General features: G+C 42.4%; 1 protein-coding gene across 6 annotated transcripts in view, besides 2 other annotated features; it reads right to left on the bottom strand.

Moving 5' to 3' along the window:
• LY96 (lymphocyte antigen 96) overlaps nt 1–22,107 on the bottom strand; it is a 108,466-nt gene extending 86,359 nt beyond the window's left edge. For 4 of the 6 annotated variants that reach the window (XM_017013299.2, XM_011517508.3, NM_015364.5 and 1 more), the window contains exons 1-3: nt 21,945–22,107; nt 8,614–8,703; nt 3,370–3,498 (exon numbers count right to left, since the gene is read on the bottom strand). In XM_017013299.2, the coding sequence (XP_016868788.1) occupies nt 3,370–3,498; nt 8,614–8,703; nt 21,945–22,056 (331 nt within the window). In that variant the 5' untranslated portion in view covers nt 22,057–22,107. The remainder of the gene's footprint in view (nt 1–3,369; nt 3,499–8,613; nt 8,704–21,944) is intronic. The other 2 variants (XM_017013300.2, NM_001195797.2) reach the window with 1 other exon arrangement.
• Nucleotides 21,326–21,395: an enhancer, noted in NCBI's record as "active region_27539". NCBI's record gives its function as "activates an Ori minimal core promoter by ATAC-STARR-seq in GM12878 lymphoblastoid cells {active_cell/tissue: GM12878}" and the evidence as "EXISTENCE:reporter gene assay evidence [ECO:0000049][PMID:35858748]".
• Nucleotides 21,766–21,865: an enhancer, noted in NCBI's record as "active region_27538". NCBI's record gives its function as "activates an Ori minimal core promoter by ATAC-STARR-seq in GM12878 lymphoblastoid cells {active_cell/tissue: GM12878}" and the evidence as "EXISTENCE:reporter gene assay evidence [ECO:0000049][PMID:35858748]".
• Nucleotides 22,108–26,535: the final 4,428 nt, after the last annotated feature.

The following is a 26,535-nucleotide window of genomic DNA, read 5'->3' as shown; positions in this document are numbered from 1 at the left end:
CTGGGCAAGATGGTGAGACCTTATCTCTATTTTTTAATTAAAATAAAATTAAATTTAAAATTAGGGCCAGGTGCGGTGGCTCACACCTGTAATCTCAGCACTTTGGGAGGCACTTTGGGAGGCCGAGGCAGGCAGATGGCCTGAGGTCAGGAGTTTGAGACCAGCCTGGCTAACATGATGAAAACCTGTCTCTACTAAAAATACAAAAATTAGCCGGGCATGGTGACACACGCCTGTAGTCCCAGCTACTCGGGAGGCTGAGGCAGAATCACTTGAACCCGGGAAGTGGAGGTTGCAGTGAGCTGAGATTGTGCCATTGCACTCCAACCTGGGTGACAGAGTGAGATTCTGACTCCAAAAAAAAAGAAAAAAAAATTAGCTGGACATGGTGATCTGTGCCTGTAGTCCTTGCTACTCAGGAGGCTGTGACTAGATGATGACTTCAGCCCAGGAGTTTGAGGCTGCAGTGAGCTATGGTTGCACCACTGCACTCTAATCTGGGTGACAGAGCCACAAGATAAGATCTTGTCTCAAAAAAAAAACTTATCCCAGTTTTTCTGCCACAGTTATTTAGTAATTATATAGTTAAAACCAATAACATATAGTTCTATTGCTAATAGAACTATATGTTATTTACATACACCTTTTTACAATAAATTTACAAAAAATTTACAATAATTTTACAAAAAAATTATATGTAAATATAATTTTATTGTATGGCAATGGCTCATACCTATAATCAATTTACAATAAAATTACACATAATTTTATTATAAATTTTGTTCTTATAACTGTCTTTCCCAGAATGGAGTGACTTTTTTATTTATTTATTTATACTGATTTACCAGGTACATGTGCAATCTCATTACCTGCATAGGTTGTGTAGTGGTCAAGTCAGGGCTTTTAGGGTGCCCATCACCCAAGTAACATATACCCATTAACTAATTTTACATCATCCACCCCCTCACCCTTCCAACTCTTCACTATCATTCCACTCTGTAGTACATGTGTACACATTTTTTAGCACCCACTTATGAGTGGGAACATGCAATATTTGACTTTCTGTGCCTGGTTTGTTTCAGTTAAGATAATGGCCTCTAGTTCCATCCATGTTGCTGAAAAATACATGATTTCATTTTTTTAATGGCTTAATAGTATTCCATTGTGTAAATATACCACATTTTATTTACCCATTTGTCTGTTGATGGACACTTAGGTAAATTCCATATCTTTGCTATTGTGACTAGTGCAATAAACATATGAGTGCAGGTATCTTTTTGATATATTGATTTCTTTTCCTTTGAGTAGATACCTAGTAGTGAAATTGCTAGATGGAATGGTGGTTCTATTTTTAGTTCTTTGATAAATCTCCATATTGCTTTCCATAGACTATACTAATTTACATTCCCACCAAAAATGGATGAGTTCTTTTTTCTCCATATTCTTGCTAACATCTGTTACTTTTTGTCTTTTTAAGAATAGCCATTCTGGCTGGGGTAAGATGATATCTCATTGCAACTTTAATTTGCTTTTCTCTGATGATTAGTAATATACCTATTGACCATTTCTATCTGTTCTTTTGAAAAGTATCTATAAGTGTCTATTCATGTCCTTTTCCCACTTTTTTTTTTTTTTTTTTTGAGATGGAGTCTCACTCTGTCACCTGGGCTGGAGTGCAATGGCATGGTCTCGCCTCACTGCAACCTCCACCTCCTGGGTTCAAGCGATTCTCCTGCCTCAGCCTCTCAAGTAGCTGGGACTACAGGCGCATGCCACCACACCTGGCTAATTTTTGTAGTTTTAGTAGAGATGGGGTTTCACTATGTTGGCCAGGCTGGTCTCGAACTCCTGACCTCATGATCCACCTGCCTTGGTATCCCAAAGTGCTGGGATTACAGGCGTGAGCCACTGCGCCTAGCCACTCTTCCCACTTTTTAATGGGGTTATTTGTTTTTGTTGTTGCTGTTGAGTTGCTTGAGTTCTTTGTACATTCTGAATATTAGTCCCCTGTTGGATGAATAGTTTGCGAATTTTTTCTCATATACTACAGGTTGTCTGTTCACTCCGTTGATTATTTCTTTTGCTATGCAGAAGCTTTTTGATGTAATTAAATCCCATTTGTCTACTTTTGTCTTTATTGCCTGTGCTTTTGAGATCTTTGTCATAAATTCTTTGCCTAGACCAATGTCCAGAAGAATCTTTCCTAGGTTTCTTCTAGTATGTTTGTAATTGCAGATCTTATGCTTAAGTTGTTCATCCATCTTGAGTTGATTTTTGTATGTGGTGAGAGCTAGGGGTCCAGTTTTATTCTTCTGCATATGGCAATCCAGTTTTCCCCAGAGTAACTTTCTGAGGAAGGAGATCCTACCATTCAACTTCAGATAACCAGAACGTAAATCACGATTTGCTCAAATTAGGTTCAATAGATGTTTATGGAAGAAAGTGGGAGGAGGGAGAGAAGAAGTAGACAAGCTGATTTGAGTCTGACACCTCTGAGGTCTCAAGAAAGAGAAACTTTGAAGATTCAGGTAAAATATCAATGTAATTCCACAGAGATTGTGTAAAAGAAATGCACAATTAAAAAAAAAAACAGTAATCTGCTAAGGGATTTTTTTTTTCCAAAGAGAAAGCATGACACAGTAGGAGAGTCATGTCTTAGAGTTAGGATGCTGCTCTGTTACTAGTTCTCCAAATGACCATGGACACATTACTAAGCCACTGCAAACATCAGTTCCCTCATTATAAAGATGACAGGACTGGAAAATTCATAACAAAAGAAGGATTCTTATTCTGAACACTGTACTAGGCTTTTTTTTTTAACATACATTCTCAAATTTAATTCTTAAAACTATGTATGATGTGTTTTACTTTCCCATTTTATAGCTGAGGAAAATGAGGCCAAGAAAGGTTAAATATTAATAACATGCCAAAAGTCACATTGCTGGTAAATGGAAAAGCTGGAATATAGCTCTAAAGTGGTAATTCCTTTTTTTTATTCATTTTTATTTTTTATTTTTTTATCCCTTGGTGCAAGATCTCTGTAAGGGTCCTAATTTCTGAATGTTATTATTCTGTAAATAATTCCAAGGAGGAACATAAAGGCAGAAGTCACTAAAGAAACCAAGGACTGTATAGAAAATCTGGTGGGTTACTATGAAAAATATTAATAATACAAATCATGTAAGTGTCATCCTAACAGTTCAAGTATATAGTTATAAAATGTTATTTAAGCTGCTAAAGTAAAAACTTTGGATGGAAAAAGAATTATTAGCAGAAAAGGAACTTCCCATTTTCAATGTATTTAATTTTCATAACATTTTCATAAAGAATTATTTCCTATTCTAAAAGTAATATGAACTGAATACTTACCTCCCTTCAGAGCTCTGCAAAAAGAGTAATCGTCATCAGATCCTCGGCAAATAACTTCTTTGCGCTTTGGAAGATTCATGGTGTTGACAGTTATATAGAGATTGAAATATAATTGCTTTAAATCTCTCCCTTTAAAAGAAAAAATCCCATTAGGCCCTCAAATAGTAGATTCTTTTATACATAGTAATTAACATTTATTGTATAGTTAAAAGGGGCCCTGTGCTTTTCTTACATTATTTCATTTAATCATCACAACTATCTACAAGATGTCAATTATTACTCTTCTTCTGCAGATGAGAAAACTGAAGTTCTGAGAGGGCAACTAGTAAATCATAATCAAATACAATGTTCCACAGTAAAACTATGCATGCTCTGCCTAAAAACAGAAGAGCCTTCATAACTTCATTGAGAAAACTATCAAATAAAGACATAAAATGTCTAGTTCTATGGTTCTGCTAGAAAATTCAAAAGAAAAGAAAAGGAAAGGAAGGACAGTGAGACAGTCAACTTTCTAGGAGTTCTGATGAAAGATTTCTTGAGAATAAAATAGAATCTTTTGATGAAAAATTAAATGTATGCCTATTTTTTAATTTCCTCATGATCTCCCTATTTCCAGCTACCATGAAAAATTCCAGTAATCAATGCATTTTTCTCAACTCTTCCAACTTATTCAGTTGGCCCAAATGAAAAAGATGCACAATCCTTTTCTTTCTTTTCTTTTCTTTTCTTCTTTTTTTTTTTTTTTTTTTTTTTTTGAGAAAGACTGGAGTGCAGTGGCGTAATCTTGGCTCACTGCAACCTCCGCTGCCCAGGTTCAAGCAATTCTTCTGCCTCAGCCGCTGGAGTAGCTGGGATTACAGGCGCCTACCACCGTGCCCAGCTAATTTTTGTATTTTTAGTAGAGATGGGGTTTCACCATCTTGGCCAGGCTGGTCTTGAACTCCTGACCTCGTGATCCACCCACCTCAGCCTCCCAAAGTACTGGGATTACAGGCATGAGCCACCATGCCTGGCCAAAAAAGATGCACAATCCTTTTCATAAAGAAAACAATTTTGCAACCACTACCTCACTGAAAATATTTTCCTAGTAAGATCACCATGACTCATTGTAACCATAATCAAAAGACAACTTTTCTAACTTTAATTTGAACTTGGCTATGCTTAACAGAACTGCCTGCTCCTTTCCCTAAACCTTCTTTGGTGTTGGTGCAACCACTCCCTTCCAGGTGTCCTCCAATCTCTCTGACTCCTCTTCCTCAGTCTATTTCATCGACTCCTGGATTTCTCCAGGATCTATCCTCAGTTCTCCTTAGTTTTCACTCTGCACACTCTCTCAGGCCAAGTACCACATAAGGTGACAATTCTCAAGTCAACTTTAGTCTCAACCTTTCTCCTGAGCATTGATCCCATGTATTTATTCAATATCTCTACTCAAATGTTGCCCAGTTACCTCACCCAACAGATCTAAAAGTGATTTCCTCCTCTTCATCACCAAGTTGGCACTAGAATTCCCAGTCCCAGTAAATCTTTCTAACCTCCTTTTCATCCCCATTACCGCGCTGCCTTCATGTAGGCCCTCATTGCTCTGAACCTGAAGCACCACCAACTTTCCTAATTTGTCTTCACTTCTCAACTTTCAGGGTAGGGTGTGGAGAAGAATATCATGGCGTCTGTTTCAAACAGTGATCCCATGGCCTACTCCATGGACTTGGGCTTGAACTTCTCCAAAAGCAGTGCTGTGTGTAGAAGTTGAAAGACCATTTTCATAAGGAATTCCTGGAGACACAGAAGCACAAGACAGCACCACTGTGGTGTCCAGTGACAATGCAGGGCAAAGGACCTTCTTCCATTTCTTCGTGAAACACAGCAAGATTCCAGTCTTCAATAACTCCAGGAAAGGAAGTCCTGCTTTGACAACTCAATAGTTTAAGTTGTGAGAAACTCCTTGTCCTTGGACACCACTGTGGTCACGTTAAGAACATGAACGATGGCAACAATGAGACACCACTTTTGTGGCTCAGCAGGCTGGGGATGTCAATATGGGTGTTGGAGTGAGAGACAAGAAACATGGGCTGGGCGCGGTGGCTCACGCCTGTAATCCTAGCACTTTGAGAGGCCAAGGCGGGCAGATCTCCTGAGGTCAGGAGTTCGAGACCATCCTGGCCAACATGGCGAAACCCTGTCTCTGCTAAAAATACAAAAATTAGCTGGGTGCAGTGGCAGGCGCCTGTAATCCCAGCTACCAGGGGTGCTGAGGCAGGAGAATCGTTGGAACCCAGGAGGCAAAGGCTGCAGTGCGCCGAGATCACGCCACTGCACTCCAGCCTGGGTGACAGAGTGAGACTCCATCTCAAAAAAAGAAAAGAAACATGGAGGCTGTCATGTGGTATAAAAGAGGACTATTTTTTAGCTTACCAAAGACAATTCCAGGAACTTCCAGAAATAACCTTGAAGGAAGCTTATGCTCCAGTTTGATTTGTCAATCAGTTAATAATATACAAATAATTTACTAGCAAGGCTATGACATCTCAAAAGATATCATTTCCATTCTCAACCTATTTTTGGTTCAAGTTTGTACTTGTATCTCTTCCTGAATTCAAGTAGAAATGAGGCCATAAAAATAAGGTTGATTTCCATGAATGTGGCCTCACACTTTATACCAACATTATAGTATATTCTATGGAAACATAATTGCGCTATAAAAATATGACTGAATAATTATTTTGTTAATGAATTAATATAATTTGTTATATAAATGTCATATTTAGTGAGAAATTATAAAACACTTGTGATGGCCATTGAGGTATGTCCCTCAAATTTCCCTTCAAAAGCAGCTGCTGTGAGAAGAGTAGCTGGCAGACAGCCTGCAGCTGCCATACCTTCACATCTATCTCAGCACTCAGCCAGAGGCCACCCTCTCGTAGGCTGCTCCTATAATGATCCAGCACTGCAAGGACCCTAGAGCCAGGCTACTCCCGCCTGTCATGGGTCTCTTACAACAGGCATTCTGCTCTGGGGCTTCCTATTTGGCCCAGCCCAAGAGTGTCTCAGGGATGCATTCTGGTCTGAGGATTATCCTACTTAATTCTCCTTCCTCCCTACTCTCTTTTCAAAGGTATCAGACCTGCACCCCAATCTGAATTTTCTCCTAGCCTACTCTGGCTTCCTCTCCCCTTTACTGTTCACAAGCGTTTCCTCCAAGAAATCTCTAGCCTAATTCCTTCTTAGTGTCTGCTTTTCAGAGAACTCTAAATGATTTCGTACTGTCTTATTATCTTGGCCTGGAAAGATACAACCTGTTTCCTGCGAGTAAGGGCAAGGGATTCACTTGAAAGTGAGATTATTCATTATGTAAATCATCCTTTATGCCAATTGTGTAGGGGTAAAACCTGCCAACAGACCAGAAAACAGAACCTAGGAAAAAAGAAGAAACTGTAGAGCCTTAGCCAAGCAAAACTTTAGATTATTTATTTTATCTTTGGCCAGGAAAGTGAAGGAAATAGAGTTAATCATCCTTTGCTCTGTGCTGTCACTAAGCCCTGTTGCTGTCACTTCACTTATACCATACTATCTGCAGTTCTGTCTCTCCTATTGCACTGATGGATTCCTGAAGATCAGGAGAATGTCTTATTGGCTGGGCACGGTGGCTCGCGCCTGTAATCCCAGCACTTTGGGAGGCCTAGGCGGGTGGATCACTTGAGGTTAGGAGTTCAAGACCAGCCTGGTCAGCATGGTGAAACCCCTTCTCTACTAAAAATACAAAAATTAGCCAGGCATGGTGGTGGGTGCCTATAATCCCAGCTACCCGGGAGGCTGAGGCAGGAGAATGGATTGAACCCGGGAGGCAGAGGCTGCAGTGAGCCGACGAGATCATGCCACTGTACTCCAGCCTGGGCAACAGACAGAGACTCCATCTCAAAAGAAAAAAAGAGAGAGAGAGAGAATATCTTATCAATGAATTCACAGTGCCTAGCATGATACTTACAATTTACTAAGCATCTTTTTAGTGAATAAATGAATGCAGATACAGAGTGTCAAAAAAACAGGTTGAACAACTAGAATCATGAAAATTAAAACACAAGTTTGTTGTCTATCATTCCTGGGTTCTCAGTTTTGGGGATTTTGTTGTTGTTGTTTTTCATTTTTCTGGTAAGCCAGAGAACTAAAATCGGGGGAAAATGTTTAAGCTTATTCATGTAAAACTACTCTGTAAAGTATTAATCTAAAACAAGCTCCAAATCTAAACTAGGATGTAAATTATGTGATAATGATGATGATAAAGATTAAAACTAAAGTTTTCTGGGATTCCAGAGCTTACAGGCAATAAACAATGTTTGGTAACTGGTAGGAGAGGAAAAAGTTTTGTGTCTGCACAGAGACTGAGATACAGCCCCATGCTATCACCCCACCTGCGTTAGTTTTTTCTAAGCTGATAACAAGCAAAGTCATAGAGAGGAAAACCAAGACACAACACAAAGCAAAACAAAACACATGGCCTTCTGTCATCCCATTATTACTGTATTTTTCTCTAGAAAGACCATCTTTAAAAAATATTGAAGTCCTGGCTTGCTGACACACAGATCTTTGACTAATGGAAACCCAATATTACTTATAGCTAATGATTGATGAAGGATATACCTGTAAGATTGTTGGACAGCTGAAGTTATTCCCATTTCTACCCACATGTTCTTGTGTAATCCTCTCCCAGTAGTATGGGCTAGCCTAGTGACTTGCTTCTAACCAATAGAACACAGCAAAGATGATGGAGTGTTACTTCCATGATTATGCTATATAAGATTGTGACTTGCCTAGTTAGCTGACTGTCCCCCTCGCTGGCTTTGAAAAAGCAAGCAGCCATACTGAAAATGCCCATGTGGTAAGGAACTGACGGGTGGCCAACAGCCAGCAAGGGACTGAATACTAACAACTGAATACTGACAACAGCTACGTGAGCTTAGAAGTATATATTTCCTAGTTGAGCCTCAGAAGGGACTCCAGCCTGGCAAACACCTTGATTGTAGCCTTATGGGAGACCTTGAAGCAGACACAGGTAAGCTATGCCCAGAATACTGATCAACAAAGATGATGAGATAATAAATGTGTGCTGTGTTAAGCCACAAAGATCGTGGTAATTTGTTACGTAGCAATAGATAACGAATACAAGTATATTTGAAACACAATCATTTATCACTGATATTTCTTAACTCCTTTGATTGGTCTATAAAAGCAAAAATTTGAACTTACTTGGAATGTAGAAAATGTGCAATAATCCTTTGGATCTTTTCAATTCTATACAGGGGTTAACATTAATTGAAATTGGGTATTGCATTTTATCTAAAAGCAATAAAGATAATGTCAATAAATTACTACAAATCATCTCCATTAAGTATAGTATTCTGAATATCAGCCTTTTAAGATGAATCTTGCATTAAAATTATAAAATAAGAAAAATTGATGATGATTGAAAATATCTCCCCAGAAGAATGACATCAGCAATGTGGCAGAATCAGAAGCCCTGAACTCTTCTTGCCTCCACTAACACAACAATTTACAGAAATATTCCCTTTATGAAAAATCAAACTAATTGAAAGACTCCTGCATGCAAGGAGAACACAAAACCAGATTCAACAAAGCCAGTAGGGAGACTTGGGACACTGTCTAATCAGAGATTATTACCCTGGTGTGGTGTCATACAATCAGGAAGAGACCCCCCCAACCAGCTCCTAGCTCCACCCATGGGAGGAGAGAAGTTGTTTCACATGTCCAGAACACCAACTTTTTCACGAGGGCTCCCCAGAGGACTGGCTTCTGTCTTGCCAGTCTTGGAGCTCTGATGAGTCTGGCACAGTCTACCACCCAGGGGAGAATAAAGGCAGTGGCTTGGGCAGATAGGCATCATTAATCCTCCCCTCTGCTCAGCACAGAGTGAGAAGATGAAAAATCTTAGCTCTCAGCTTTCTCCCGGGGAGGGAAAGAGTTAATCCATGCATCCAGCATCCCAATTTCTCTGGGGATCCCCAGAAAACTTATATCTGTCTCATCAGTCCTAGAGTTCTGACAGGTCTGGCATAGTCTAGCTGCCTGGCAGGGGAATGGAGACAGCAGCTTGGGCTGGTAGATGCCACAGTTCCCTTCACCACCCCATCTCTGGCTCAGTATGGAATAGGTGGACAAAAAAACACAGCTGCCTGCATCTCCCTGAAGTGAGAAAGAGTTGGTAGAGGACCCCAGAATCTCTAACCAGGCTAATAGTGAAGTGGGAAATTAAAGAAAGAAAGAAAAAGAAAATTAAAAAGAGAAAGAAATAAGCTTTCCTGTATTAGGCTGACTCATCTCAAAGGCAGTAGCAGGCAAGGCCCAGACCCAGGAAAAGTCTTGATAAACACTATCTGAGAAGATAGGACACAAAGAAATGTGCTCTGGAGACTCTTCCAGCACTCCCTCAACATAGGGAGAGGAAAAACAAATTTTCCTTTCTTTTATGATATGAGTTTACAGATTCTTGTTCTCTGTAACTAGGAACTTCAAGTATTCTGTTTTACCTAAGAAGTACAGCGAAGGTCGTGAGAAGCCTGAGCAGGCCTGAACTACAGCCGTCTGGGCACCATGGTGAAGGTTATGAGATAAACCAGTGCAAGGCTCTTTTGAGCAAAACCTAGATAACAGACATCTGGGTTGCATAGCAATGTTCATGTATAGTCCTGAGTTATGAACCTGTCACAATTGGATTAATTGTTCTGCCTCTATATCCTTGCTTTTGTGCCACTGTAAGCCTGCTTCAAGCTAGCCCACCCCCTTTTAGAAGTGTGTATAAAAGTCAAGTGCTGTCCTTGTTCAGGGCCCAGTTTTTGGATGTTAAGTCTGCTGGGTCTGAGTGCATTCAATAAAGATCCTCTTGCTTTCCCCCGAGGTCTCTCTCGTCCTCCTGATTCCCACAACAATAGGTGTGGGTATGTTCCTGTGTGAGGCCAATCTGTGAAGACTGAAAAAGATGTCTGCTTTGTAATGTGTAGATGCCAAACAGAGAGACAAGGAAAATGAAAGATCAGGCAAAGATGTTTCAAACAAAGGAGCAAGACAAATCTTCCTCACTTACACTAAGGAAATGAAGTTATATGATTTACCTGACAGACAATTTAAAATACCTCCATAAAGATGCTCACTGAGGTCAAGAGAACAATACATGAATGCAGTGAGAATTTCAACAAGAAGAAAGAAAACATTTTAAAGGACCACACAGAAATCATGGAGCTGAAGGCTGGGCACGGTGACTCATGCCTGTAATCCCAGCACTCTGGGAGGCCGAGGCGGGCAGATCACCTGAGGTCAGGAGTTCTAGAACAGCCTGGCCAACATGGTGAAACCCCACCTCTATGAAAAAAATACAAAAATTAGCTGGGCGTGGTGGCATGTGCCTGTAATCCTAGCTACTTGGGAGGCTGAGGCTGGAGAATCACTTGAATCCAGGAGGCGGAGGTTGCAGTGAGCCAAGATTGTGCCACTACACTCCAGCCTGGGCAACAGAACAAGACTCTGTCTCAAAAAAAAAAAAAAAAGAAATAAATAAATAAATCATGGAGCTGAGGAACACAATAACTGAACTAAAAAGTTCACTGGAGGGGTTCAGCAGCAGACTAGACCAAGTAGAGAAAGGATCAGTGAACTCAGAGAGAGATCACTGGAAAAGAATTCAATCAGAAGAGCAAAAGGAAAAAATAATTTAAAAGAGTGAAGAAAACTTAAGGTAATGGTGAGACACCACCAACCAGAACCATATATGCATTATGAGAGTTCCAGAAGTGGAAGAAAAAAAGAACAGACTACAGAAAGTTTATTCAAAGAAATAATGGCTATAATCCCAGCTACTCAGGAGGCTGAGGCATGAGAATCAGTTGAGCCTGGGAAGCAGAGGTTGCAGTGAGCTGAGATCACGCCACTGCACTCCAGCCTGGATAAAAGAGCAAGACTCTGTCTCAAAAAGAAAGAAAAGGAAAGAAAGAGAGAGAGAGAGAGAGAGAGAGAGAGAGAGAGAGAGAAAGAAAGAAAGAAAGAAAGGAAGGAAGGAAGGAAGGAAGGAAGGAAGGAAGGAAGGAAGGAAGGAAGGAAGGAAGGAAGGAAGGAAGAAAGGAAGAAAGGAGGGAGGGAGGGAGGGAAGGAAGGAAGGAAGGAAGGAAGGAAGGAAGGAAGGAAGGTTGGTTGAAAACTTCCCAAATCTAGGGAAGAAAATGGAAATAATGGAAATACAAATCCAAGAAGCCCAATGAAATAGTTTTGTTTGTTGGTTTGTTTTTAAATACGGGGGTCTGCTCTGTCACCCAAGCTGGAGTGCAGTGATGCAATCATAGCTCATTGCAGCTTCTAACTCCTGGGCTCAAGTGATCCTCTTGCCAATAGCTGAGACTACAGGTGTATACTACCACACTCAGCTAATTTTTTTTTTTGTAGAGATGAGGTCTCACTATGTTGCCCAGGCTGGTCTTGAACTCCTGGACTCAAGTGATCTTCCTGCCTCAGCATCCCAAAGTGCTGGCATTACAGGCATAAGTCACCACATGTGGCCTGTTTTTTGTTTTGTTTTTAATTAAAAAAAAATTTGTAGAGGCCAAGTGTGCTGGCTCATGCCTGTAATCCCAGCACTTTGGGGAGGCCAAGGTGGACCGATGGTTTGAGGTCAGGAGTTCAAGATCAGCCTGGCCAACATAGCAAAACCCCATCTCCGCAAAAAATACAAAAATTATCTGGGCATGTCAGCACAGCACGTGCCTGTCATCTCAGCTATTCGGGAGGCTGAGGCACAAGAATCACTCAGACCCAGGAGGTGGAGGTTGCAGTGAGCTGAGATCACACCTCTGCACTCCAGCCTGTATGACAGAGCGAGACTGTCTCAAAAAAAAAAAAAAATTTTTTTTTTTTTAGAGATAGAGGCTTTCTTTGTTGCCCAGACTGGTCTCCAACTCCTAAAGTGTAGAGTTGTTATATGTGATTCAATTTAAGTTGTCATTAGCTTAAAACAGACTGTCATAACTATAAGGTGTTGCTATGGTTTGAATGCATTGCCTGAAGTTCATGCATTGGAAATTTAATCCCCAGTGCAAGAGTGTTGAGGGGTGGAACCTCTAAGAGGTGATCAGTTCATGAGGGCTCTGCCCTTGTGAATGAATTAATGCTGTTGTTGCAGGAGTGGATTAGTTATTGTGGGTGTGGATTCCTGATGAAAGGATGAGTATAGCCTCCTTCCCCACCCCTGACAAGTGCCCTTTCGGCCTTCTGCCCTTCTGCCATGGGATGATGCAGCAAGAAGACCATTGCTAGATGCAATGCCTCAATGTTGGATTTCTCAACAACCAGAACCATAAGCCAAATAAATTTCTGTTTATTATAAATTACCCAGTCTTACGTATTCTGTTATAGCAGCAAAAAACAGATGAAGATAGAAAATTGGTGCCAGAGAGGTGAGGTGTTGCTGTAACAGGTACCTAAAAATATGGAAGCAGCTTTGAAACTGGATAATAGGCAGAGGCTGGAAGAGTTTGGAGGAACAGGCTAGAAAAAAGTCCATATTGCCATGAACAGAGCATTAAGGGCAATTCTGATGCGGGCTCAGAAGAAGGGAAGAAATGTAGGGAAAGTGTGGAAATTCCTAGCGATTACTTAAGTGGTCATAATCAGAATGTTGGTAGAAATGTGGAAGGTAAAGGCAATTCTGATGAGGCCTCAGACACAAATGAAAAACAAGGTATTGGAAACTGCAGTAAAGGCCATCCTTGCTACACAGTTGCAAAGAACTTGATGGACTTGTGTCTGTTCCCTAAAACTGTGTGAAAAATGGAACTTAAGAGCAAGGATCTACTCTATCTGGTAGAAGAAATAGATAAGCAGGAAAGTGCTCAAGGTGCTGCATGGCTTCTTTTGGCCACTTATAGTAAAATTCGATAACGAAATTAGTATGGATAGAAGGGAGCCAAGTGTTCTTCTACATCAAGACAATGGGAGAATGACCTGAAAGGCATTTCATAGATCATTAAGATAGGCTAGGACTTTGAGGACAAGGTCATATGTGAAAAACCCACAGTCAACATCATACTCAGTGGTGAAAAACTGAAAGGTTTTACTTTAAGATCAGGAACAAGGCAGTGATGTCCATTCTCACCACTCTTGGTCAACATAGTACTAGAAGTCCTAGCCAAAGCAATTAGTCAAGAAAAAAAAAAGCATCCAAATTGGAAGGGAAGAAGTAAAATTATCTTTTTGCAGATGACATAGTCTTATATATAGAAATCCCTAAAGACTTCATTAAAAATTGTTAGAGCTGGCTGGACATGGTGGCTCATGCCTGTAATCTCAGCACCTTGGGAGGCAGAGGTGGAAGGATCACATAAGGCCAGGAGTTCAAGACTAGCCTGGGCAATATAGCAAGACCCTGTCTCTATTAGAAACTTTAAAAAATTTTAAAGAAAATAAAAATGTAAAAAAGTTGTTAGAACTAATAAATGAATTCTGCAAAATTGCAGGATATAAAATGAACCTACAAAAATCAGTAATGTTACTAAATACTGTCAACAAGCTTTCAGGCCTGGTGCAGTGGCTCACACCTGTAACCCCAGCACTTTGGGAGGCCAAGACAGCAGAATCGCTTGAGTCCAGGAATTCAAGACCCGCCTGGGCAACATGGCAAAACCCCGTCTGTACAAAAAATACAAAAATTAGCTGGATGTGATGGCACATGCCTGTAGCTACTCAGGAGGCTGAGGTGGGAAGATCACTTGAGCCCAGAAGGTCAAGACAGCAGTGAGCCAAGATTGTGCCACTGCTCTCCATCCTGGGCAACAGATTGAGATCTTGTTTCAAAAAAATTAAAATTGCCAGGTGTGGTGGCTCACACCTGTAATCCCAACACTTTGGGAGGCTGAGGAGGGTGGATCACCTGAGGTCAGGAGTTTGAGATCAGCCTGGCCAACATGGTGAAACCCTATCTCTACTAAAAATAAAAAATTAGCCGGGTGTGGTGGCGGGTGCCTGTCGTCCCAGCTACTCAGGAGGCTGAAGCATGAGAATTGCTTTAGCCCAGGAGGTGGAGGCTACAGTGAGCTGAGATCATGCCACTGCATTCCAGCCTGGGCAACAGAGCAAGACTTGGCCTCAAAAAAAAAAAAATTATAACAAGCTATCTGGAAAAGAAATTAGAAAAACAATCAAATTTACAATAGTACCAGGAGGAATACAATAAACTTCACTAAGGAAGTTAAAAACTTTTATAGTAAAAACAATAAAATAAATTGATCAAAGACATTAACAGGACAAAAAGAAACAGAAAGATATCCCTTGCTCATAGATTGGAAGACAATGTTGCTAAAATGTTCACACCATTCAAAGTGTCCTACAGATCCAGATTTGAAGCAATCTCTATCAAAATCCTAATGGCATTTTTCCTTTTTTTTGAGAGAGAAGAGACAGGATTTCACTCTGTCACCCAGGATAAAGTGTAGTGGCACAATCATAGCTCAGGGCAACCTCAAACTCCTGGGCTCAAGAGATCCTCCCACCTCAGTCTCCTGAGTCGCTAGTACTACAGGTGCATGCCACCACACCCAGTGAATTTTTTTTTCTTCATTTTTTTGTAGAGATGGGGCCTCACTATGTTGCTTAGGCTGGTCTTGAACTCCTGGCCTCAAGTGATCCTCTCACTTCAGCCTCTCAAAGCACTAGGATTATAGGCATGAGACACCATGCCTGGCACCAGTGACATTTTTTACAGAACTAGAAAAAAAAAACTATAAAATGTGTACAGAATTTGTGATACTGTGATATAATAAGAAACATATATTTTGTCTCTGCCCCAGTTTATGGCACAGAGATCCTAAAACCCTTGTAGTTTACAGAACAATGGGAGTGGTAAGAGAATTTTTGGTCCTAACATTTGGTTTTTGATCCCAATTTCTTGCCCAGAGCTTCTAGTTCCTTAGACTGTCCTGGGCAATAGCAGCATCTTTTTTTCTAATGGTAACTTTTGGTGGGTTCCTGGATAAGGGCCAGTTATGAGAAAGACCAAGCCATGATGAGAAGCTTGGAACTTTTAGCCCCACCTCCCATCCTGCAGGAAGGGGAGAAGGGCTACAGACAGAGTTAACATTCGATTATGCCTACATGATGAACACCCCATAAAAATTTCTGGACGACAGGTTTAGGAGAGCTTCTGGGTTGGTGAACACATGGAGATGCTAGGAGGATGGTGCACCCAGAGAGGACATGGACACTCTGGTCCCCTTATCCTGCACCTTACCTTATATATCTCTTTCATCTGGCTATTCGTCTGTATCCTTTGTATTAATAATATCCTTTATAATAAACCAGTAAACATAAATGAGTGTTTCCTTGTGTTCTGAGAGTTAGTCTAACAATGATCAAACCCAAGAAAGGGGAACCTCCAATTTATAGCCAGTGAGAACCACAGGTGTCAGCCTAGGGCTTGCACATGGCATCTGATGTGGGAGGAAAACTTGTGGGAAGGACCCCCTAATTAGACTGTAATTCTAGGTAGTCTTAGTATTGCTTCAAGATCCTGAGGAGTCCTGGAGGTCTTGGTATAAAGTTGAGATTTCACTCTAATTGTAGTGAAAGCTACTGGAGGATTTTCAGCAGGAGGGGTCACATTATCTAACTTATTTTCATTTTGCAAAGATCTCTCTGGCCTCTGTGTCAAGAATAGATTGTATGGTGGCAAGAACTGAAGCAGAGGGAGGGCAATTTAAGAGGTTTTTGTAGAGGCCAAGGAGAGACAAATGTGGCATGAGTGTTAGAGAGCAGTGAGAAGCACTTGGATATAGAATAGAATCTGGAGATCATGAAAACAGGAATGACTAATACAATAATGTAATAGGTGAGGGAAAGAGATACTTAAGGATACTTCTGGTTTGGGGCCTAAGGAATTAGGTGGATGATGAGATGGAGAAGACTTAGACAGAAACAGGTTTAAGGCCGGACACGGTGGCTCATGCCTGTAATCCCGACACGTTGGGAGGCCAAGGCAGGCTGATCGCCTAAAATCAGGAGTTCAAGATCAGCCTGGTCTCTACTAAAAAAATACAGACCAGGCATGGTGGCTTATGCCTGTAATCCCAGCACTTTGGGAGGCCCAGGCGGGTGGATTGTCTGAGGTCAGAAGTTCGAGACCAGCCTGACCAACATGGTGAAACCCCGTCTCTACTAAAAACACAAAAATTAGCCGGGTGTGGTGGCGCAGGCCTGTAATCCCTGCTACTCAGAAGGCTGAGGCAGGAGAATCACTTCAACCCAGGAGGCAGAGACTGCTGTGAGCCAAGATTGCACCACTGCACTCCAGCCTGGGCAACAGAGCAAGACCCCATCTCAAAAAAATAAATCCCATCCCCCAAAAAATACAAAAATTAGCCGGGACCAGGCGCAGTGGCTCACGCCTGTAATTCCAGCACTTTAGGAGGCCAAGGTGGGTGGATCATTTGAGGTCAGGAGTTCAAGACCAGCCTGACCAACATGGTGAAACCCCGTCTCTACTAAAAACAGAAAAAAATAGCCAGGCATGGTGATGCATGGCTGTAGTCCCAGCTACTTGGGAGGCCGAGGCACGAAAATCGCTTGAACCTGGGAGGTTGCAATGAGCTGAGATCGTGCTGCACTCCAGCCTCAGTGACACAGCAAGACTCTGTCTCAGAAAAAGAAAGAAAGAAAGAAAGAAAGAAAGAAAGAAAGAAAGAAAGAAAGAAAGAAAGAAAGAAAGAAAGGAATGAAGGAAGGAAGGAAGGAAGGAAGGAAGGAAGGAAGGAAGGAAGGAAGGAAAAGAAACAGGTTTTAGGCCTAGCGTGGTGGCTCATGCATGTAATTCCAGCACTTTGGAAGGCCAAGGCAGGAGAACTGCTTGAGCCCAGGGGTTGGGACTGGCCTGGGCAGCACAGCAAGACACTGTCTCTACAAAAAATTTAAAAATTAGCTAGGTTCAGTCTTGCTCTGTTGCCCAGACTGGAGTGCAGTGGCACAAACATGGCTCACTGCAGCCTTGACCTCCTGGGCTCAAGCTATTCTCCTGCCTCAGCCTCCTGAGTAGCTGGGCTATACTACTGGTGAGTGCCATCACATCTGGCTGGCCATCCTGATTTAAAATGCAACCCCCTAGCTTCTCCATTTTTGCATCTTTGCACCCTCTACCCCGCATCCCCCAGCCTTATTTTTCTTTCACAGCAATTACCACCATCTGACATGCTGAATATTTTACTGAATCCATAAGGGCAGGGACTTTTGTCTTTGTTGTTAATTCACTTATCTCCTCAGTTCCTAGAGTAAGTGCATGCTAAATGCTCAGAGAATATTGGTTTCACTAAATAATCTATTAATTCCTTGGATTTTCTAACCATCTGTAGCAAAAAAAAAATAAAGATTAGAACTGAGACCAATGACTCAGGATCATAGGAAAGCATGTGCCTAAGATCCTAGGAACCAACTCACACACCCACATTTTTTGCCTTTTCCAAAACTGGGAGAATAAATCAGTCAATTTTTGCCATTTTTGTATGTTATGGACCGACAGAAATGTGTCCTCATTCCTCTCGTCCCCATTCACATGTTAAGGCTCCAGTACCTCAGAATATGACTGCATTTGGAGACAGTGCCTTTAAAGAGGTAATTAAGTTAAAATGAGGCTGTTAGGATGGGCCCTAATCCAATCTTGTTGGTGTCCTTATAAGAAGAGGAAATTTGGACACACAAAGAAACGCCAGGGATGTGCACACACAGAGGAAAGGCCATGTGAGGACACAGTGAGAAAGCAGCCAGCTGCGAGTGTCTTAGTCCACTTTGTGCTGCTATAACAGATTATTGGTGTCTGGGTACTTAATAAAGAACAGAAATTTATTTCTCACAGTTCCGGAGGCTGGTAAGTTCCATGTGAAGGTGCTGGTATCTGACAAGGGCGTTCTTGCTGTCTCATCCCATGGTGGAAGAGCAGAAGGGCAAGAGGGGGCAAAAGCAGGAGACATAAGGGGGCTAAACTTGTCTTTTTATGAGAAACTCACTCCCTCAATAATGACATTAATTTATTCATGAGAGAAGAGCCTTCATGGCTTAATCACCTCTTAAAAGTCCCACCTCTTAATATCATCACAATGGCAATTAAATTTCAACATGAGTTTGCAAGGACACAAAATTCAAAACACAGCAGTAAGCCAAGGAGAGAGGCCTCAGGAGAACCCAATTATGCAGACACCTTGATCTTGGACTTCTAGCCTCCAGAACTGTGAAAAAATAGGTTTTTGTTGTTTGAGCCATCCAGTCTGTGGTATTTTGTTATGGCACCTGAACTAATTAAGACACTGTAGCCCGGAATCAGTGGCTCAGGCCTGTAATCCCAGCACTTTGGGAAGCTGAGGCAGGAAGATTGCTTGAGACCAGGAGTTCAAAACCAGCATGGACAACATGGCAAAACCCCATCACTACAAAAAACTTAAAAATTAGCCAGACATGGTGGTGCACGCCTGTAGTCCCAGCTACTTGGGAGGCTGAAGCGGGAAAATCACTTGAACCTCAGAGTTTGAGGCTGCAGTGAGCCATGATTCCACCGTTGCACTCCAGCCTGGCTGACAGAGCAAGACTCTGTGTTTAAAAAAACATACACTTAGATGCCCAGCAGCTTGACCAAATGGAAATCTATCTCTTCTTTTTCATGGAAATCATCACAGTGAATCAGAGGTTGTTGTCACCAACACCCTCACAATGGTACCTAGAGGAATCAGTGCTTCCCACAGGTGATGCATTTTTGGCTGGGCAGGATGGATTCTCTCAGGCCGGGAAGGCAGTCATATGGCAGTGGGGATGGCAACAAGCAACATCTTGCTGTAGATGTGTATTCCAGTGGCTTGCCCACAGTCCCTTTGTCAGTGGGGCAGCAGGAAAGGACCACAGGGTTTCTCAGAGAGAAGGAAGGAAGATCCTCCTTCATAAAGTCAAATCAAATTAGCCAGGCATGGTGGTGCATATCTGTAATCTCAGCTATTTAGGAGGCTGAGGCAAAAGAATCGCTTGAACCCAGGAGGCAGAGGTTGCAGTGAGCTGAGATCGTACTACTGCACTCCAGCCTAGATGACAGAATGAGACTGTCTCAAAGTAAAAAAAAAAACTAGAAAGTCAAATCAAAAGATACACCAACGGTGATGGTTTCACAGCAATGTGCATATACTTAATACAATTGAGCTAAACACTCAAAAATGATTAAAATGTGAAATTTTAGGCCAGGTGCAGTGGCTCATATCTGTAATCCCAGCACTTTGGGAGGCCAAGGTGGGAGAATCACTTGAGCCCAGGAGTTCCAGACCAGCCTGGGCAATATAGCAAGACTCCATCTCTACAAAAAAATTAATAATTAGGCCAGCTGCGGTGGCTCACGCCTGTAATCCCAACACTTTGGGAGGCCAAGGTGGGCGGATCACCTGAGGTCAGGAGTTGGAGGCCAGCCTGGTCAACATGGCAAAACCCTGTCTCTACTAAAAATACAAAAATTAGCTGGGTGTGGTGGTGGGCACCTATAATCCCAGCTACTCGGGAGGCTGAGGCAGGAGAATCACTTGAACCCAGGAGGCGGTCGTTGCAGTGAGCCAAGATCATGCCATTGCACTCCAGCCTGGGCAACAAGAGTGAAACTCAAAAAAAATTATTTAATTAATAATTAGACAAGTGTGGTGGCATGTGCCTGTAGTCCCAGCTACTTGGAAGGCTGAGCTGGGAGGATGGCTTGAGCCAGGGAGGTGGAGGTTGCAGTGAGTGGAGATCATGCCACTCACTCCAGCCTGCACAACAGAGCAAAACCCTGTCTCAAAAATAAATGATAAAATAAGATAAAATGTGAAATGTTTTAAAAAGACAAATTGAGTTATTGTTAAGAAAAGATTGAAAGCTAAATAATAATACAAAATGTTACATCCATAAAAACCATATAAAGAGTGGCATAAACCGGGCAAGGTGGCACACGCCTGTAATCCCAGCACTTTGGGAGGCCGGGGTGGGCAGATCACAAGATCAGGACATTGAGACCATCCTGGTCAACATGATGAAACCCTGTCTCTACTAAAATACAAAAAAAAAAAAAATTAGCCGGGTGTGGTGGCGCACACCTGTAGTCCCAGCTACTCAGGAGGCTGAGGCATGGGAATCGTTTGAACTTGGGAGGCAGAGGTTGCAGTGAGCCGAAATCGCGCCACTGCACTCCAGCCTGGCAACAGAGCAAAACTCTGTCACACACACACACACACACACACACACACACACACACACAGTGGCATAATTAGCACATGGTACAAAAGAGCCAAAGGAGGAGAGGGAAGTGGGGGCCAAGTAGAGTAGGAGCCTTGCTGGAAGAGGGGAATGCAAAAGGATCTTGCAGCATGGAGAGATTTTAGACATACGTTTGGAGGGAATTCAGTGCAACCCACCAGGAGAAGGGCCATGGTGTGTGACTGGCCACACTCCTAAGTCTCCTCCTCACATGTGGCAATTATCCCAATTTCCCGAAAGTCACTTTATATTAGCATTTGGCAGAGCATGTTTCTCAAGAGAGTTAACATACACTCCAGACTAAAACACAAACAAACAAACAACAAATGAAATTGAAAATGTGGTTAAACAGGTGCCTTTATTGCAGAACTTCTCAGAACCCAAAGTACATCTGTAAATCTCTCCCAGATGATTAGGTCATAGATCCTATTTTCCCAAAAGAATCTCAAAGAACTGGTATTTTGGGAAGCACCACTTTAAACCTCCCAGCTATTGCTAGTGGGTGGAAAAGGGCAGCCAACCCATGGTAAGCAGCACGGTGGAAAGTACCGAACCAAAACAGCTGTCAGGCCTGACACTGTGCCTTCAGATCCCAGGACACTTGCTAATGAGCAGCTGGGGCAGGGGACAGTGACACAGCCAGTGAATAGTATTAGGGTATGGCTGACTCCAAAAAAAAATTAAGAGTATTATTGTCTCTATGTGACCCTATGCTAAAAAACTTCACCTCACAACACCCTTATCAAGTAGACTATAAAATCACTTTCACTTCAGTGCTAAAAAGGCTGGAGTACTTTGCTTAAGGTCACACAGCTAGTGACAGAACCAGGCTTTCATCCAGTGAGGGGGATGATTCCAAGAGCACTCAAGAGTCACAGCTTAGAGCAGAAATCAACTCCAGGAAGCAGCTGGGACTGCTCTACCATCTCAAGAAGAAGAACTAGTAAGTGTCAAGGCTGAGGTGAAAGCTCAGAAGCAGATGGTTTTATTAAAAATGGGCAGAACCAAAAACTGGGCTCAGGGTAGAGAAAGATGACGCAGGGAACAGAAGCACTTGGAGGTCAAGCACAACACAGTTTAGAGACTCACAAGCTCTGTGAGTGGTCGAGAACATTCTCATGGGGCAGCTGCCAGCTATTGCTTTTCCTGCTGGCAGCGTCCGCCACAGCAGCTGGAACACACTGATGTTTCGTGTGTTCCAGCCACAACAGTGTACGGTTCTCGTGAAAACTTACCCTCAAAATAGTTGATGCTACAATTATTTGTTTTGCGGTTTTACTTACCACAGTAGGTGTATGAAATACTTGCATCGGATGAGTTGCAGACCCAATACTGCTTCTGAGCTTCAGTAAATATGGAAGAAAACAGGGTGGAAAAAAACAGAAATGGTAACATGATTCAATATCTCCAAAGCTTTACAAATGCAAAGAGGATCAGTAACTAATCATCAGACTCTTCCTTTTCAGTAAGCAGAAAAGATTTAACTTAGTCATCAGTCACATGATTTCTGAGTTCCTATCCAACTGTTTCCTCTTTTTTTGTGTGTGTGTGCTCAACATTTGAGCACTTCCTGTAAAGGAAGAGAGAAAAATGATTTAGAATGTACTCTTCAAACACTTACTGTAAATGAGAGTGATCAAAGACTTAAAAATAAAACAAGACACTTTGGCCAGGCACGGTGGCTCATGCCTGTAATCTCAGTATTTTGGGAGGCTGAGGCAGGTGGATCACTTGAGGTCAGGAGTTCAAGACCAGCCTGGCTGACATGATGAAACACATCTCTACTAAAAATACAAAAATTAGCCAGGTGTGGTAGTGCATGCCTGTAATCCCAGCTATTCAGGAGGCTGAGGCAGGAGCTTCACTTTATCTGGGAGGCAGAGGTTGCAGTGAGCCAAGATGGCACCACTGCTCTCCAGCCTGGGCAACAGAGCAAGACTCCATTTCAAAAAAATTTTTTAAATGAAAAATAAAATAAAATAAACAAGACAATTCCCAGTCAACTGTAACAAAACCAGTCCCTAGGTCCCCCTGAAAGTCTCAACAGACAGGCACTCCTTTTCCCTCTGCATTATTCTTCTCTCCTACAGCTCTGTATAACAGCAGTCCCCAACATTTTTGGCCTCAGGGATCAGTTTCATGGAAGACAATTTTTCCACGGACTGAGGGGATGGGGAGGGATGGTTTCAGGGTGAAACTGTTCCACCTCAGAACATCAGGCATTAGATTCTTATAGGGAGCACGCAACCTAGATCCCTCGCTTGTATACTTCATAACAAGGTTCCTGCTCCCATGGGAATCTAATGCTGCTGCTGGTCTGACAGGAGCTGGAGCTCAGGTGGTAATGCTCGCTCACCTGCTGTTAACCTCCAGCTGTGCAGCCCACTTCCTAACAAGCCACAACCAGATTCCTAACAGGCCATGGACTGGTACTGGTCCACGGCCCCCAGAGGATGGGGCCTCCTGCTTTATAAAACAAATTCTCAGCTGGGCACGGTGGCTCATGCCTGTCATCCCAGCATTTTGGGATACCAAGGTGGGTGGATCACTTGAGGTCAGGAGTTCAAGACCAGCCTGGCCAACATGGTGAAATTCCGTCTCTACTAAAAATATAAAAATTAGCCAGGCATGGTGGCACACACCTGTAATCCCAGCTACTCGGGAGGCTGAGGCAGGAGAATCGCTTGAACCCAGGAGGCAGAGGTTGCAGTGAGCCAAGATTGGGCCACTACACTCCAGCCTGGGCAACAGAGTGAGACTCGGTCTCAAAAACAAACAAACAGGCCAGGCGCAGTGGCTCACCTCTGTAAATCCCAGCACTTTGGGAGGTCAAGGTGGGCGGATCACCTGAGGTCAGGAGTTTGAAACCAGCTTGACCGACATAGTGAAACCCTGTCTCTACTAAAAATACAAAAATTAGCTAGGCATGGTGGCAAGTGCCTGTAGTCCCAGCTACTCAGGAGGCTGAGGCAAGAGAATTGCTTGAACCGAGGAGGTGGAGTTTGCAGTGAGCCAAGATTATGTCACTGCACTCCAGCCTGGGAGACAGAGCGAGACTCCATCTCAAAAAACAACAATAACAACAACAAATCAAATTATCATGGCCCAGAGAGCTGCACCTATAGATCTGAAGTAAACAGTCTCATGGAAACTATTTCTTTTCAGCAGCAGGTTTAGTTACAGGACAGAACAGGGCCAGATAAGACCCCAAACAGGGGACACTAGCTGTAATTCTGTGCTGTGGGCAGGGACTCCACCAGTCTTAATAATGTATTCACCTACAACAAGCTAGAGCTCAAGAGAACATTTTGAGTCCTAATAATGAAATGTCATCCTTTTGTTATGACATGTATTTCATTTCAAAACTCTCACTCCATTTTAGAAAGACAGCTATTCCTTTAGATATCTTGCTACTTGAAATCCTTTACAGGATATAGCTTAGGGTTAGCAGCCAAAAATGGCATGGAGTTTTGGCCTAAAAATCTGCACACTTAAGAAGAAAATAATCATACGTTGGTAAAAATATTTTACAACAGAAGTGTGATTTTTTCCATTTTTTTAGAGATAAAGTCTCACTGTGTTGCCCATGCTGGGGTGCAATGGCTATTCTTAGGTGTGATTATAACACACTGCAGCCTCAAATTCCTGGGCTCAGCTGGGACCACAGGTTTGAGCCGTGGCTCTTGGCCCTGCCATTTTCAAAAAGGCAAAAGTCCAAGGGAGGAGGGGGAAATGGGGAGTTGTTCAATGGGCATAGAGTCTCAAGCTGACAAGATGAAAGAGTTCTAGAGATCTGTTGCACAACAAGGTGAATATAGTTAACACCACTGAACTCTATGCTTAAAACTGGGTAAGATGGTAAATTCTTTAAAAAACACAATTTTAAAATAAATTTAAAAGATGGAAAAAAAAAAGACAACCACCCATGAACACCCTTAGTGGTCTCAAAATACCATTTCCCACTATAAGCAACCAGGACTCCTTGGAGTCTGGGGTAGAAAATGTACAAAATGAGCCTAAAACACTTTGTTATATTAGATAACCAATTTGAAGACGGTTCCACTGAGCAAAGATAGGTGTTTCTAGTTTCCTATAATGGCTGTAACAAATTGCCAAAAGATTTTGTGGCTTAAAACAACATAGGCTGGGCACAGTGGCTCATGCCTGTAATCCCAGCACTTTGGGAGGCCAAAGCGGGCAGATCACCTGAGGTCAGGAGTTCAAGACCAACCTGGCCAACATGGTGAAACCCCATCTCTACTAAAAATACAAGAAATGAGCCAAGCATGGTGGTGGGCATCTATAATCCCAGCTACTCGGGAGGCTGACGCAGGAGAATTGCTTGAACCCAGGAGGCAGAGGTTGTAGTGAACCGAGAGATTGCACCACCACACTCCAGTCTGGAAGACACAGCAGGACTCCATCTCAAAAAACAAACAAAAAACTGTAAATATATTCTCTTACAGTTCTGGCGGTCTGAAGTCTGAAATCAGTTTCACTGTACTAAAGTCAAGGTGTCAACAGAGGTGGTTCCTTCTGGAGACTAAGGGGAAGAATCTGTCTCCCTGCTTTTTTCAGCTTTTAGAGCTACAATCCTTGTATTTCTCCATCTTCAAAATGCATCGCTTCAGTCTCTGCAATCTCTGCTTCCATCATCCCATCACCTTCTTCTTTTTTTTTTTTTGAGGTGGAGTCTCCCTGTGTCGCCAAGCTTGGAGTGCAGTGATGCGATCTCAGCTCACTGCAATCTCTGCCTCCCGGGTTCAAGTGATTCTCCTGCCTCAGCCTCCTGAGTAGCTGGGACTACAGGCACGCACCACCACGCCCAGCTACTTTTTGTATTTTTAGTATAGACGGGGTTTCACCTTATTGGTTAGGCTGGTCTTGAACTCCTGACCATGTGATCCACCTGCCTCCTCCTCCCAAAGTGCTGGGATTACATGCCTGAGCCACTGCACCCAGCCCATTTCATCACCTTCTGCTCTGATTTCATGCCTCCTTCTTATAGGGACCCCAGTGATTACAATGGACCCAGCTGGGTAATTCAGCACAATCCGAGTTAAAATCCTCAATTTAATCACATCTGCAAAATTCCTTTTGCCATGTAAGGTAATATTCACAGCTTCCAGTGATTAGAAGGTGAACATTTTTTGCCATTATTTAGCCTATCTCCATAACTATGTGAACATTAATAAGATAGTAACTGCAATAAGTTGAAATACTTTAATATATTTAAATCCATAAGCTCATAACATTATATGTATTTATCGTTTTGTGAGACAGGATCTACCTCTTTCACCCAGGCTGGAGGGCAGTGGCATGATCACAGCTCACTGCAACCTTAAACTCCTAAGCTCAAGCAATCCTCCCTCCTGAGCCTCCAAGTAGCTGGGACTACAGGCATATACCCCTATACCCAGCTAATTTTTTTAGTTTTTTCTTAGAGACAGGGTTTCACTGTGTTGCCAGGGCCAGTCGCGAACTTCTGGCCTTAAGCAATCCTCCCCTCAGCCTCCCAAAGGGGTGGGATTACAGGCGTGAACCACCGCGCCCCGCCTCATAACGTATTTTTTAAGTCTACTTATCAATAGATGATGCTAGGAAACCAAATCTATTTTTAAAACTGGCAAATAAAAGGACAGAATCAAGCATTTATACTGACTTTTCTATACAAACTGAACTGCTCGGTTACCAAATAGCAGAGACGGGCAAATTTCTCTTGCCTTCTTGTGCTTTTAGCTCTATTTTTAGAAGTATTTCAGTTAATAAGTGAAAAGGGAATAATAGAATATAACCATTTTTCAACATCGAATGAATTGGTGGACTTAGGCATTGAGCATCAATGGTTGCTACCATCACAAAGAGACAAAACAA

Source organism: Homo sapiens, chromosome 8 (genome assembly GCF_000001405.40).
Source record: "Homo sapiens chromosome 8, GRCh38.p14 Primary Assembly".
In the NCBI taxonomy this organism is placed as follows: Eukaryota; Metazoa; Chordata; class Mammalia; order Primates; family Hominidae; genus Homo; species Homo sapiens.
This window is presented reverse-complemented; position numbering and strand designations above follow the sequence as displayed.